Below are 12,688 nucleotides of genomic sequence, written 5' to 3'. Positions count from 1 at the left end.
TTTTGAAGGGTATTCCTTTCTACACTTTCATTCCACTGTCATCTGCTTTCCATTGCTTTTGTTCAGAAGTCAGCTGTCAACCATGCTGTTGCTCCACTGAAGATAATACGTCTTTTTTACCTCTAGCTGTTTGTATTTTCTTTGTATTTCTCCTGTTTGGGGCTCATAATGCTTCAGTCTGTGGCTTGAAGTCTTTTATAGTTTAGGGAAATTCACAGCCATTATCTCTTCAAATATTGCTTCTATCCCATTCTCTTTGTTCTCTTCTTCTGAGACTTCAAGTAGAAGCATGTTAGGCCTACTTACCCTATCCCATAAGTCTCTTATGCTCTTTTCTGTATTTTCCATCTGTTTATCTCTCTGAGCTTCAGTATGCATTGTTTTCTGACGTTTCAGTTCATTAATTATTTATTCAGCACCATCTAATCTGCTACTTGATCTACACATTGAGCTCTTTTAGTTACTGCATTTTTTGTACTAAAATTTGTTTGATTTTTTAAATTATTGAGATATAATTCACACACTGTACAATTCACCACTACAAGGTACACAATTCAGTGGCTATTAGTATATTTGCAAGGTTGTACAACCACCACCACTAAGTCCCGAATATTTAATCATGCCAAAAGAAAACTCAAACCTGTTAGTAGTCACTCCCCATCTCTCCTTCCCCCAGCTCCTAGCAACCACTAATCTACTTTCTGTCTCTATAGATTTGCATACTCTGGACATTTACTATAAATGGAATCATATAATATGTGGCCTTTTATGTTTAGCTTCTTTCACTTATAATGTTTTCAGGGTATATCCATATTGTAGCATGTATCAGCACTTCCTTCTTTTTTATGACTAAATACTACTCTATTGTATGGACATGACACATTTTGTTTAAATTGTATAGGTATGCCATACTTTGTTTAAGTTTGTTCCATAAATCACTTCATTAACATTTGGGATGCTTCCACTTTTTGGTTATTTATTTATTTATTTATTTATTTATTTATTTATTTATTTTGAGATGGAGTCTCGCTCTGTCGCCCAGGCTGGAGTGCAGTGGCGCGATCTCTGCTCACTGCAAGCTCCGCCTCCTGGGTTCACGCCATTCTCCTGCCTCAGCTTCCCCAGTAGCTGGGACCACAGGTGCCTGCCATCACGCCTGGCCAATTTTTTTGTATTTTTAGTAGAGGCAGGGTTTCACCATGTTAGCCAGGATGGTCTCGATCTCCGGACCTCGTGATCTGCCCACCTCAGCCTCCCAAAGTGCTAGGATTACAGGCGTGAGCCACCGTGCCCAGCCTGGTTATTTTGAATAATGCTGTTATGAACATTTGTGTATAAGTTCTTGTGTGAGCATATGTTTTCAATTCTCTTGGGTATACACCTAGATGTGGAATTGATGGGTCACAGGTTAATTCTATGCTTAAGTTTTGGAGGAATTTTCAGTTTTCCATAGCATCTGCACCATTTCACAATCTCACCAGCAATGTATGAGGGTTCTGATTCCTCCATACCCTCTCCAAAACTCTTCTTTCCTTTTCTTTCTTCCTTTTTAAAATTATAGCTATCCTAGTGGGTGTGAAGTGGTGTTTCATTGTGGTTTTGATTTGCAGTAGCCCAATAAATAACAGTGTCAAAAATGTGCTTGTTGGCCATTTGTGTATCTTCTGTGGAGAAATGCCTATTCAAGTCTTTTGCCCATTTTTAAACTGGACTGGTCATCTTTTTGTTGCTGAGTTGTAAGAATTCTTTATATATTCTGAAAATTAGACCTTGATGAGATATATGATTTGAAAATACCTTTTCTCATTCTATAGCTGTCTTTTCATTTTCTTGACAGTGTCCTCTCAAACACAGAGGTTTCTGACTTTGATGAAGTTCAATTTATTTATTTTTTCTTTTGTTGCTTGTGCTTTGGTGTCATATGTAAGAAATCATTGCCTAATCCAAGATCATGAAGACTTACACCTATATTTTCTTCTAAGAGTTTTATAGTTTTGGCTTTTGCATTTATGCCTTTGATCCATTTTGAGTTATTTTTTTTTATTATTTCCAGGTTTGTTTTTATAATTTAATCTCATAAACATATTAAACATAGTTAATTTAAAGTTTGCATCTGTTAACACCATTACTAGGATCTCCTGTGTGTCTAGCTGTTTCTCTTAGCTTTTGGTCACAGTTCTTATTTCCTCATAGGCCTAATTATTTATAACTGAGTGCCAAACATAATAATGAAAAATGATGAGAGATATATTAGGTCTAGGATGATAGTATCTTCCACAGTATCTTCCTCTAGAGAGGATTTAAATTTGTTTCTAGCCACTGGCTATCCTAAATCACCTTAATCCAATTAGAGGTTAAGATAATTTGAATCCAGGCTTCAGTCTCTATGAAACTGCCTTAGTCTATTTCTGGCTTATCTTTCCTTCTTAATTGTATCCCTTTGGTGTCTCAAAGCCTGGGGAATTTTACCAAGGCTACCCATCCTGGGCCTCTGGGCCTTAAATTTCCATATTTGTCCTGCTAGCCCTACAAGTCTATTAAACACTCTGCTCAGCTTTTTGACACTCAGTAATATTTTCTAAAATGGCAGAAGCCTCTTCAAGGAAAGCAGCTCCCATGAAGCAAAAGGATTGGTCTGAATTTTCTTCTAGAAAAGCTTCCATTTCTAGAAGCACAACTCTAAGTTTAAATTTTGAAAACAGATTATCTTATGTTTATTTGTAGCCCTCACCAGGCCCAGTGCAATTCTGGAAACCTAATAAGAATGGAAATATGCTTTGTTTGATACAATGAACAGATACTGGTGATAGTGAAGGCTTGCCACACTTACGTTTTAAGTTGTTCATTTCCCAGGACGTGGTAACCAAAGCATTCTGGTAAAACAAGAGAGAAGCAAGCCTGAGGTTTCAAGTATGGTTTCACATTACTTCCTTAGGGACTTTTCAAAAACCACACTCCATCAAACAGAAAAAGGAGGTTAAATCTACCTCAAATAAAGGACATCTCTGAAATTAGCTGAATGATTAAGAATCCAGATACTAATCTCAGAGATCCTCTGGTGACCACCAAATGGAGGAACTCTACAAGAAATTCTAAAAATTGGCACGTATAAAAGCTCTATATGGGGCCATCTGGGGTCTGAGAAAGATTTGGGCATCTAGTTCCTGAGACATATGTGAAAATGTCAGCTTCACCAGCCACCTCAAATTCTGTAACAGCACACTGGCTTTTCCTAAGTGGCACTAGCATAAAAAAATTGAAAGAAGTAATCACTGACTTCGAATTCTCTTTCCAATAAGTGGCCATACGCTGTTCATTTCTCCTTCATGATATGTCTGGCATCTGTCTCCTTCTTTTCATTCCTCCTGTCACTGCTACCACATCTCAGGCTCTTATTACCCTGTCCTGGAATTAGAGGCCCAGTCTTTTGGAAATAGCAGCAATATTTTATCATTTCCCTATGAGTAGGTCTTCCATCGTTCCCTAGTGCTCTCAGAATGAAGTTCAAACTCCAAGTTTGGCATTCGAGGCTCTTTTCGGCTTTGTTTCAAGCTGCTCTCCTCATTAACACTCTGATTTAGCCAAACTATTTTTACTCACCACCCTCTGAAGAGTCCTCACACATTCCGGTGCTCTCCTTCATCCTGAAGCCTGTTCTTCCATATGGAATATCCTTTGACTCCAGCTCCCCCTCCATGCTCACAAACTCCGTACTTTTTCATCTTTAATTACTGAAATCATTTTCATTCACTAAAAACCCAGCTCAAATTTCACCTCTCTACATCTCTCTGCACAAAAAGCACTTAGTACTTACAGACGCTAAAGCTTAGAGAGGTCAAAAAATTTGTCCATGAGAACAACTATTAATTGGTGAAGTTGGAATTGAACTCATAAACTCCTTCAATGCTATTTTGTCTTATCTGTATTCTCCTAATCTTATACAATGCCTTGCATATAGTAAGCACCTAATAATTACAGAGCAAAGACAGGGGGAAGAAAGGCCATAAATTTTCACAGCAAGAAAGACATATACAAAAGAATATTCTTGATGTATCAGTTTTTAAATTCATCAGATATATACTGCAGAAAAGGTTGTGATTCCATCTGTTAAAAAGAGAATCATACAAGCAGAACTATAAAAATAAGCTGCTAGAATATTCTGGTTAAAGGAAAGAAATCTAAAACTCAATCAGCTTTAAATCCATTTGCTACATTGGGATTGTTGGCAGTTCAAAGGGCAAATGGCAAAAGCATGTCTCACCACGCACCCTGGCCACAGTGCAGATGGAACTCAGCCAAGGGGTTACCCAGCTAGAAAGCATTACTGCTTTCCCACTGACCAGGGCAGTCCTGTGGAAGCCTTCAACAGCCCATGTGTTCTTTGCTTTGGTCTTGGGACTTAAGGATAAATGAGATGAGGATGGTGGGTAAATGACAAGGGTAGGCACTGTCTTGGGGGCACTGCTTCTCATTCTTGCCCTACAGAGTTCAGGCAACAGTCTTCTTGGGGAGCCCCAAGGAAGGGGGTGGAAAGAGGCTGAAGACAATGGGGGCTTTCAGGAGTCCCCTTAATACCCAGAGAAGCAAGGAGCAGAGCAAAGGTTCAAACACCCAGGGGAAAGGAAATCGCTTCTTGATCCCTTCCAAACACAAGGACCATGATCAAAGAATTGCTTGCTGTAGTTATCGCAAAAAGAAAACAACAACAGGCCTTCCTGCATTCCTGCCTTTCCATGCCAGGCTGTCCTCTCCCCATGATCGTCCCCACCCCCCAAATCCTGGGGACAATTGAGCTGTGTCTCTGGCATGTGTGGAGCTGCAGGTCACGGCCATATTTAACGAGAACATTCATTCTCCACAGGCGCTACAGGGCTCCTCAAAACACCCTTTGTGTCACTGTGCCTTTCTCTCCACAGCCCTTGACACTAATTTAATCAAGATGTCCTTCTAGCTTGTAGATGGGGTGGACTCGTCAGTTCTGCATTCCTCCTGGCATTAGGGCTTTGCAGCCAAATATGTAGACTTAAAACCAGCAAGTTGAGATGGGGTCAGGGTCTCCAAGCCAGAGCATGCAGACCTTTTGGGTAAACCCTAGGCATAAAGAGTGGACTAGCTCTGTGGTATGTTTTTATAATTTTTAGTTAACCCTAAATATTCTGGAGGAGTTGAGAAATATTTTCTTAGGCAAGTATGTAGACATTTAGAAGCATTTTTTTTTAAAGCAAGAAAAAAGACAAAATTTTATCTCTATATTTTTGGACTCATCAGTACTGTTTCTAGAATGCAGAACTAGAAAAAATAGCTCCTTGTCACAACTATGCCTGTCCTTTTTCTCCTAGTCTGCACTCTCCATAATTTTGCAAAATCTGAAAACTTCAGTTCTTTCCCAAGAACCAGATTTTAATTCAGATTTGCCTTCCTTAGCTGTTTCTCTAGACCACAGTCAGTATCCAGAAGAGAATGTCAAAACTGCGGTAGGGAATTTAACCAATAAGGAAAATAAAAAAATAAACCATCTAGAGCCCTGGGTCCCCAACCAGGTTACCTGATTCCTGGTCTAATGTTCATTTCCTATGCTGTGGTAGCTCCCAAAGAGGGCATCACTGCTCATCAGTACCCCTACCCCGGCCCTGAGTTGATTTGTGGACACCAAGCCAAACATTTGAAGTGTGAGTATTATGGGCCAGAAGGAGTCAAATGCATTTGAGGAGGGCATGAGGCAGGCCCAGGGAACTCAGACAATCTATCTTAGGAGCTGATTTGAATGTGTGTTGAAATTCTTCTGTCAACCACAGATCCAACTGTCATGACCTCCCGCCTGGGACATGTAACTATTCCTTCCATCATCTGCCTGCCAGTTTAATCAGCTCACATCAGCAGCGGCAGAAAAATATTCAAAGGGCTATTGTTTCATGACCCACAAGGGCATTTTCAGAAACCCAGTAAGACTCCAGAATATAAGAGGGGTGTACCCTCTATAGATTTTGGAGCAAAAAGCTCAACTCCCTATCCTTAACTCTTTCTTCTCTCGCCTAGGTCAAGTAGGCCATTGACCTGGGGTCAGGAACAACCCTAAGTTCTTAGACCAATTTCAAAGTTATCTTTAAGTAATGTTATAAACCAAATTAAACTCCCAGTCATGAAAAACTGAAAGGCTCTTTCCAGCTCCCTCACAAAGCTATAGTGCAAAAATTCACCACCCTCAAATCAACAAACATATCTTCCATGTTGTTTCTTAAAGTAAGAACTGAGCCACTTCCCTTTTCCCCTCTGTCTTGTTGCCGGCTTGCTTATTTTCTCTCTTTCTCTGGAAAAGTCAATAAGAAATGCTTCCCTGATACTGTCAAATCATAAGAACATGGCCTACAGCTCTAGGTTTTGTATTAGGGCAAAGAGCAGGCATTCTGAACCCAAGAGAGGATACTGCTAAGCCTGAAAGTGGCAAAAGTTTGGGGAAAGGGCTAATGGAAGCAGCCTCAGGGCTACGCAGAACACCATCTCATTTGCTCACATCCTATAACCAAATGATGAGCACATCCACACTGGAGATTAGAAATAGCTCTCAGCTGAACAACAGGAATTTGGTCCAGGAGAAGCAACACCTTGTGAAACATCATTTAATGAAACCTACAATATGTTTAATAAAGTCAGCTATTCTTAGAAGAGCAACCCAGGGCCGGGTGCAGTGGCTTATGCCTGTAATCTCAGCAGTTTGGGAGGCCGAGGCGGGTGGATCACCTGAAGTCAAGAGTTCGAGACTAGCCTGGCCAACATAGTGAAACCCTGTCTCTACTAAATATACAAAAATCAGCCAGGCATGTTGGCACATACTATAATCCCAGCTACTCAGGAGGCTGAGGCAAGAGAATCACTTGAACCTGGGAGGCGGGGGTTACAGTGAGTCAAGATCGCGCACTGCACTCCAGCCTGGGCAACAAGAGCAAAACTCCATCTCAAAAAAAAAAAAAAAAAAAAGAAGAGCAACCCAGAGGTTATATAGATGCCTGTTAATCTATAAAAAATGTGATATTTTCCCCCATTTCAGAATTTTTCCAGCATTTAAATCTATAGCACAAAATGTAAACCCTGCTTATTGATTCCAAACATAGCCTAAATGGCTCTTCTGTCTTCTCTACTCCTCCTCTCACTGCCTTAGATCAGGGCCCCGCTCTTGAATGAACTACTGTAGTAACTTTTTCCCTGTTCTCACATCTCTCTCACATCCAAACATTTCAGAGTAATCTTTCTAAAAGGCAAATCTGTCCATGGCACTCTCTTGGTAAAATCAGCTAGTAGAATTGTTTCAGTTAACAAGCATGCTAAAAATTAGTAAGCAAAGGATGAGGAGAAATAGGATATTTACATAGTATCTTCACAAGACATTTATTACAGTGCAAAGGGGACACCCATCCTCACCGAGTAATTAAAATTATCACCATCAGTAATGGGGACAAATCAACGGCAAGTGCCTCCTGATATAACGCACTAAGAAAAATATGACATCGCTTCTACGGTGTTCTTGCCAAAATTGCTTAAACTGAATCCAATCATGAGGAAACCAAACAAACCAAAATTGAGGAACATTCTACAAAATAACTGACCAGAACTCTTTAAAACCATGAAAGACAAAGCAAGACAGAGGAACTGTCAGAGATTAGAGGATACTAAGATGACAGTTCACCTCGACATCATGTGTGATCCTAAACTGAACCCTGAACCAGAAATTTGAATTGGACATTAGCAAGGCAACAAGTGAAATTTCAGTAAGATTGAGAGATTATAGTATTACCTCTGTGTTAATTTCCTGATTTTGATCATTGTACTGTGATTATACGAGATTTTTTAAAAATCTCGCCCCCAAATATTGGAAAGATGGGATTTTAACATTTGGGGAATTTGGGTTAAGGGTACAGAGGAATTTCTGGACTACTTTGCAATCTTTCTTTAAGTCTGAAATTATCTCAAAATAAGAAGTTAAAACAATAACATTACAGGGGCTTCTGCTTCACTGGCTTCAGGGTATAAGCCCTTTGATGTGGCAGGCAAGGCCCTGCCCACCTCCTCAGCCTCATCGCTTGCCACTCCCCTACAAGGGACCTGTGTGCAGCCATCCTCACCCACACCACCTGTAGTTCCGGAACGCTTTTCACCTATTATACTTCCTTGCTTTCTGCATAAATGGTTTTATCTCCCAGAAATCCCCTATGCTCCCCTCTCCTACACTCCCATTCTTCCTAAGATACAAAGGACATCATAAGGCAAACCTCACCTCATATTTCCCTCCACCCAAGAACCCATTATTACACTGTATCATCATAGCTTATGTGCATGTCTATTTCTCCCACTAGACACTGTATTCAATATCAGGGGCCACGTCAGCCATCTTCATATTTTCAACACATGGCCCAGAAAGTCAGAAATCTATCTGCCCCAGAGAGTCAGAACTCAATTCACTGTGTATTGAGGAAACATACTGTTTCCACTTAGAACTATCATAATAGCCCAATGGTTTGCCAAGCACTTTCATAGAAATTCCCTCACTTAATTACAGAATTTCAGAGATAAATCTTAGAGAGATTAGTCCAAACCATTATCTTACAGATTAGAAAACTAAGTCCTAGACAGGTTACAAAGTTAGGCGGCATTCACAGTCAAAGTTAGGCTGTGAGTCAGTGTGAAACGTAGGATAAGATTCTCATTCCCAGATCAGGAATTTTTTTTCTTTAATTCATAAACTACAAGAGCATCTTTCCTCCAACCAACAAATACCACAGGATGTGTACAGGCAGAATTGTCTGGGCCTGGTGTGGTGCTTGGGGAAAGCATTTAATAAACACTTGCTAAAACGAGCTGAATCACCAGGGAGCAGCACCTCAATTCCTTATTTCACTCAGGTTGAACCTGAACAAGGTGTGACTCTAAGGTCTAACCTAACCTGACTACATCTTGTGAGGAATGCGCAGCCAGAATACACTAGTCTTAAGTGAGAAGGCCTGATTTTCCAACTAAGAGATCTCTGATTCAGAGAGCAGGATCCTGGCTTTCCTCCAGGGCTGATGGGAGGATGAAGCAGACACTGCATAGCCCTGAGCTATGTGGTATCAGGCCAGAGGCAACAAGCTCAGATCACTTCCTTACATCTAACCTGGGTAGGAAGCCCATCCAGTGTGTCAGAAATCATCTGCTCTGATTACAACAGCCTTTTTAATCTTCCTGGCCCAAGAGGGGATACGCACTGATAACTTTAATAATGCCAGCAGGTACAATTAATTTCCATTCCCACTATTTCCCACTCTTCATATGAAGGGGATTGGAAGGATGGAATTAGATTCCACTGGGGCTTCAGCCTGCAGCTTGAGACAGACTGCCTGACACTCAGCAGGGAAAACCTCATCTTGTGTTTCATCAGAAGGACCAATGCTGATATATCAATGTTTGAAAAATCTGTGTGGCCTTAAGCACAGGGGTAATTCTTTTGTGGTTGGGTAACAATGACTATAAAATTAAATTAAATTAAATAACAAAGCCAAGACAGGATTTGATATGAGTCTAATGAACAGTTATTAAGCAAGATTTAATCAAAATGATACTGAAGTATTTTCCATTGTTTCCAAGAAGAATATCTATTTTATCAGTCAACACGTCCTGCATTTAGTGTATCTCTAAAGTAAAGTTTTTGTGACTCTTTCAAGAATTTTTCTTAAATTAAAAACTTAAAGTCAGCTAGAAAAGGATATCTTGATTTATGTAACATTTCTCTTCCAAAGCAGTTTCCTATCCTTTGTCATTGTTATCCTCACAGGATCTCCAGGAGGCAAAGTGGGCAAGAAGTATGCTTCTTGTTCAGTTTATAGATGGGCACATGGGAGTCTGGGAAAGTCAAATTTTTGTGTAGGATTCACAAGAAGGTAATGCAGGAGTTGGAAGTAAATTTGTTTTTAATTCTCTGTCTCAGGCTTACCCTGTTATATTCCTTCTCCTTATTAGCTGAAACGGCAAGAAAAGTGCTTAAAATTTTAAAGGAGGTTAAGTTGTAGGCACCACAGTTTCCCAAGATTCTAAAACCCAAATCTAATGACATTTGTTCAGTTCCCATTCTTCCTGACCCCTTCACAGAACTCATCATTGAGTCTTCTTCTCTCTTAAGTCCTTTGAGCCATATTACTCTCATTTTCCTTTTGCCCATTTTAATTTGTTCTTCTCTCTTCTTTGCTAGCTCTTCAAAGTCTTCTTTCTAGGCCTCAACTACCCTTTACTCTGAATACCCTTTCATGACCTCAACTGGTCTTTTGTGTGGTTAATTTTCAAGTCTTCTTCTAGCTCTTGCCCTCACTAAACCTTCCCTTTACCATGTCTAAAGCTGAAGTCAGAAATATGGTATGTACTGGACAGAGCAGTGAGTAGAATTTAGAAGACCTGGTAGTTTCAGTCACATCTCAACTACTACCTAACTGGGTAAACTAAGGCAAGTTACTTCTCATTGGCTCTCAGATTCTTCATGAATTACAGGGCTTGACTAGAATCAGTGGCTCTTCCACACACTTCCCTCAATAAATGGCAATTCCAACTTCGAATCGTTCAGGCCAGAATGCTTGGGGTCATCTTTGACTGCTATTTTTTTCATACACCATATCAATCAAGCAGCAAATCCTATTGGCTCCATCTTCAAAATATATCCCAGAATTTGACCACTTCTCACCATCTCCAAAGCTCCACCCTGTTTCAATCCACTATGATTTCCTGCCCTAATTATTTATAGAAGCTCCCTTAATTGGTCTTCCCTTGCTGCTTCCACCCTACTCCTCCTAAAGCACTCTCTTCACACAGAAGCTGGAATAATCCCATTTAAACAGAAGTCAGACTGTATCATGCCTCTCCAGTCCTCCAGTAGCCTCCAAGGCCCTTCCTGAAGAAACCTGCTCGCTGCCCCAGACCACATCTCCCACCACTCTTCCTCTTGCCTACTCTGTACAAGGTCTCCTTACTGTTTCTCAAACCAGATAAGCGCATTCCCATCTCATGGCCTTAGATGTGCACTATTATCTCTGCCTGAAATACCTTCCTCAAAGAGCTAAACAGCAAAACCCCTCATTTCCTCCAAGAATCAGTTCCAATGCCAATTTATCAGTGAAGCCGTCTCTGACCACCCTATATAAAAGAGCAATATCCCTTGTACCCCATCCTCTTTGCCCTGTTTCATTTTATCATCATCTGATATATTATATATTTACTTTTTTATGTATTATCTGTTTCAACTATTAGAATATAAGCTCCATGAAGGCAAGAACTTTTTGTTATCTGCTATATTCCAGTGCCCAGCACAGTGCCTGGAACATGGGAGGCACACTGTAAATATCTGCTGAATGACTAAGTGAACTGCTGAATGACTAAGTTGAATGACCTCCTCCCACCTCATGTCAGGCCACTCAGTCCTGTCTATAATGTCTTTCCTCTGCCTTCTGGTAAATCTAATTCTTTTAGTTCCTATTGTCATTATCCAAGTTTCTATTATCCCTCTGAATTATTGTAGCAGGCTCCTATATAGTTTCTTCCATGCTAAACCACACTGAGTACTGCTGCCAATGCCACTGGAAATCATGGTTTTCAAGATTTCATTGCCCTGCCTAAAATTGTCAATGGCTCTCTTTGACCTGTAGTTTGAACTCCTTGGACTGGCATTCAAAGCCTTCTATACTCAGGCTTCAAGCTATTTCCACATATTTCTCCCATTGCTGGTCAAAAGGAAGTCTCTGCTGTCAGACTGTCCTCATGAGTGACATCTCTAATGGGGACAAAGAGGCAGGAAAGGAACTTGGAATCAGATAATATGGAAATCCTCAAAAGATATTTCTGTAAGATAAGAAACAGATGGCTAATTGAGAATCCTGGCAGCAGGTAATTAAAAGAACATCGGCCCAATTCTTTCCCCTCTATGAAGCTCTCCTGACTTACTTTTCATGAATCTGTTTTTTTTCCAAGATCCTATAGACAACAAATTGTCTGTACGACTCATTACATTGCTATCTAAATTGTAACCTGCTTTGGGAGTCTATGGTCTGTCTTTCACCTGAGATGTAAGAAATCTAAGATCTTGAACCATGTTTTAAGCTTGCTCTGCAGGCCTTTTATACTGCCAACTTGAATACCGAGCAATTACAGACAATAAAATAATATTATTAAACTCAACTGAATGGGTTGGTAGTGGTTATTTGTGGTCCTGAATTTGAGTAAAGCAATACTTTTTTTTTTCCTTCAGTCCCTGAAAGCTCAGGTAGACTATGTGGTTTTCCTTTCCTGAGAACTTAAAGGTCCAGAAAGACCACTGACTCTGAGAGCAGCAAAAAGAGAATGCTTTTTCTACTCTCCACCCTCAAAATGAACATCAAAAGAAAAACAAGGTCATGGGAAGAGGCAAGGCAGGAAGGGATGCAATGCTTATGTGGTCAGAAGGCTTGGATTATCTTGGCTTTGGAGAAGAGATGATTAAAGTTGGAGACTGGATCGCCCAGTTTGTTCTCTGTATTTCCTTTCTAGCCTATATGATAATATACCGCTAAAAAAAGATTAGCTTAGAGATTGCAAAGACCACCCTAGCTGGGCGAAGGCACAAGACACACGCTCTTCTGCATGAACACAACCAGATACCTTCTGACCATAACATAACTTTGCAGAGCACTTTGTTCCCAGG

General features: G+C 40.3%; 1 protein-coding gene and 1 long non-coding RNA gene across 3 annotated transcripts in view; both read right to left on the bottom strand.

The window, feature by feature from the left end:
• The window catches only part of SRGAP2C (SLIT-ROBO Rho GTPase activating protein 2C), a 207,900-nt gene that overhangs the window by 40,250 nt on the left and 154,962 nt on the right, over positions 1 to 12,688 (bottom strand). The window lies entirely within an intron of this gene.
• LOC107985193 (uncharacterized) lies at positions 2,825 to 3,687 on the bottom strand. Its single transcript, XR_001738200.3, has 2 exons — positions 3,601 to 3,687; positions 2,825 to 2,873 (listed from the first exon to the last, which is right to left on the bottom strand). It is a non-coding gene; the product is annotated as an uncharacterized LOC107985193 (long non-coding RNA).

This window comes from Homo sapiens, chromosome 1, assembly GCF_000001405.40.
Source record: "Homo sapiens chromosome 1, GRCh38.p14 Primary Assembly".
Classification (NCBI taxonomy): domain Eukaryota; kingdom Metazoa; phylum Chordata; class Mammalia; order Primates; family Hominidae; genus Homo; species Homo sapiens.
Note: the sequence above shows the minus strand (reverse complement) of the source record. Positions and strands in the feature narration are given on the sequence as shown.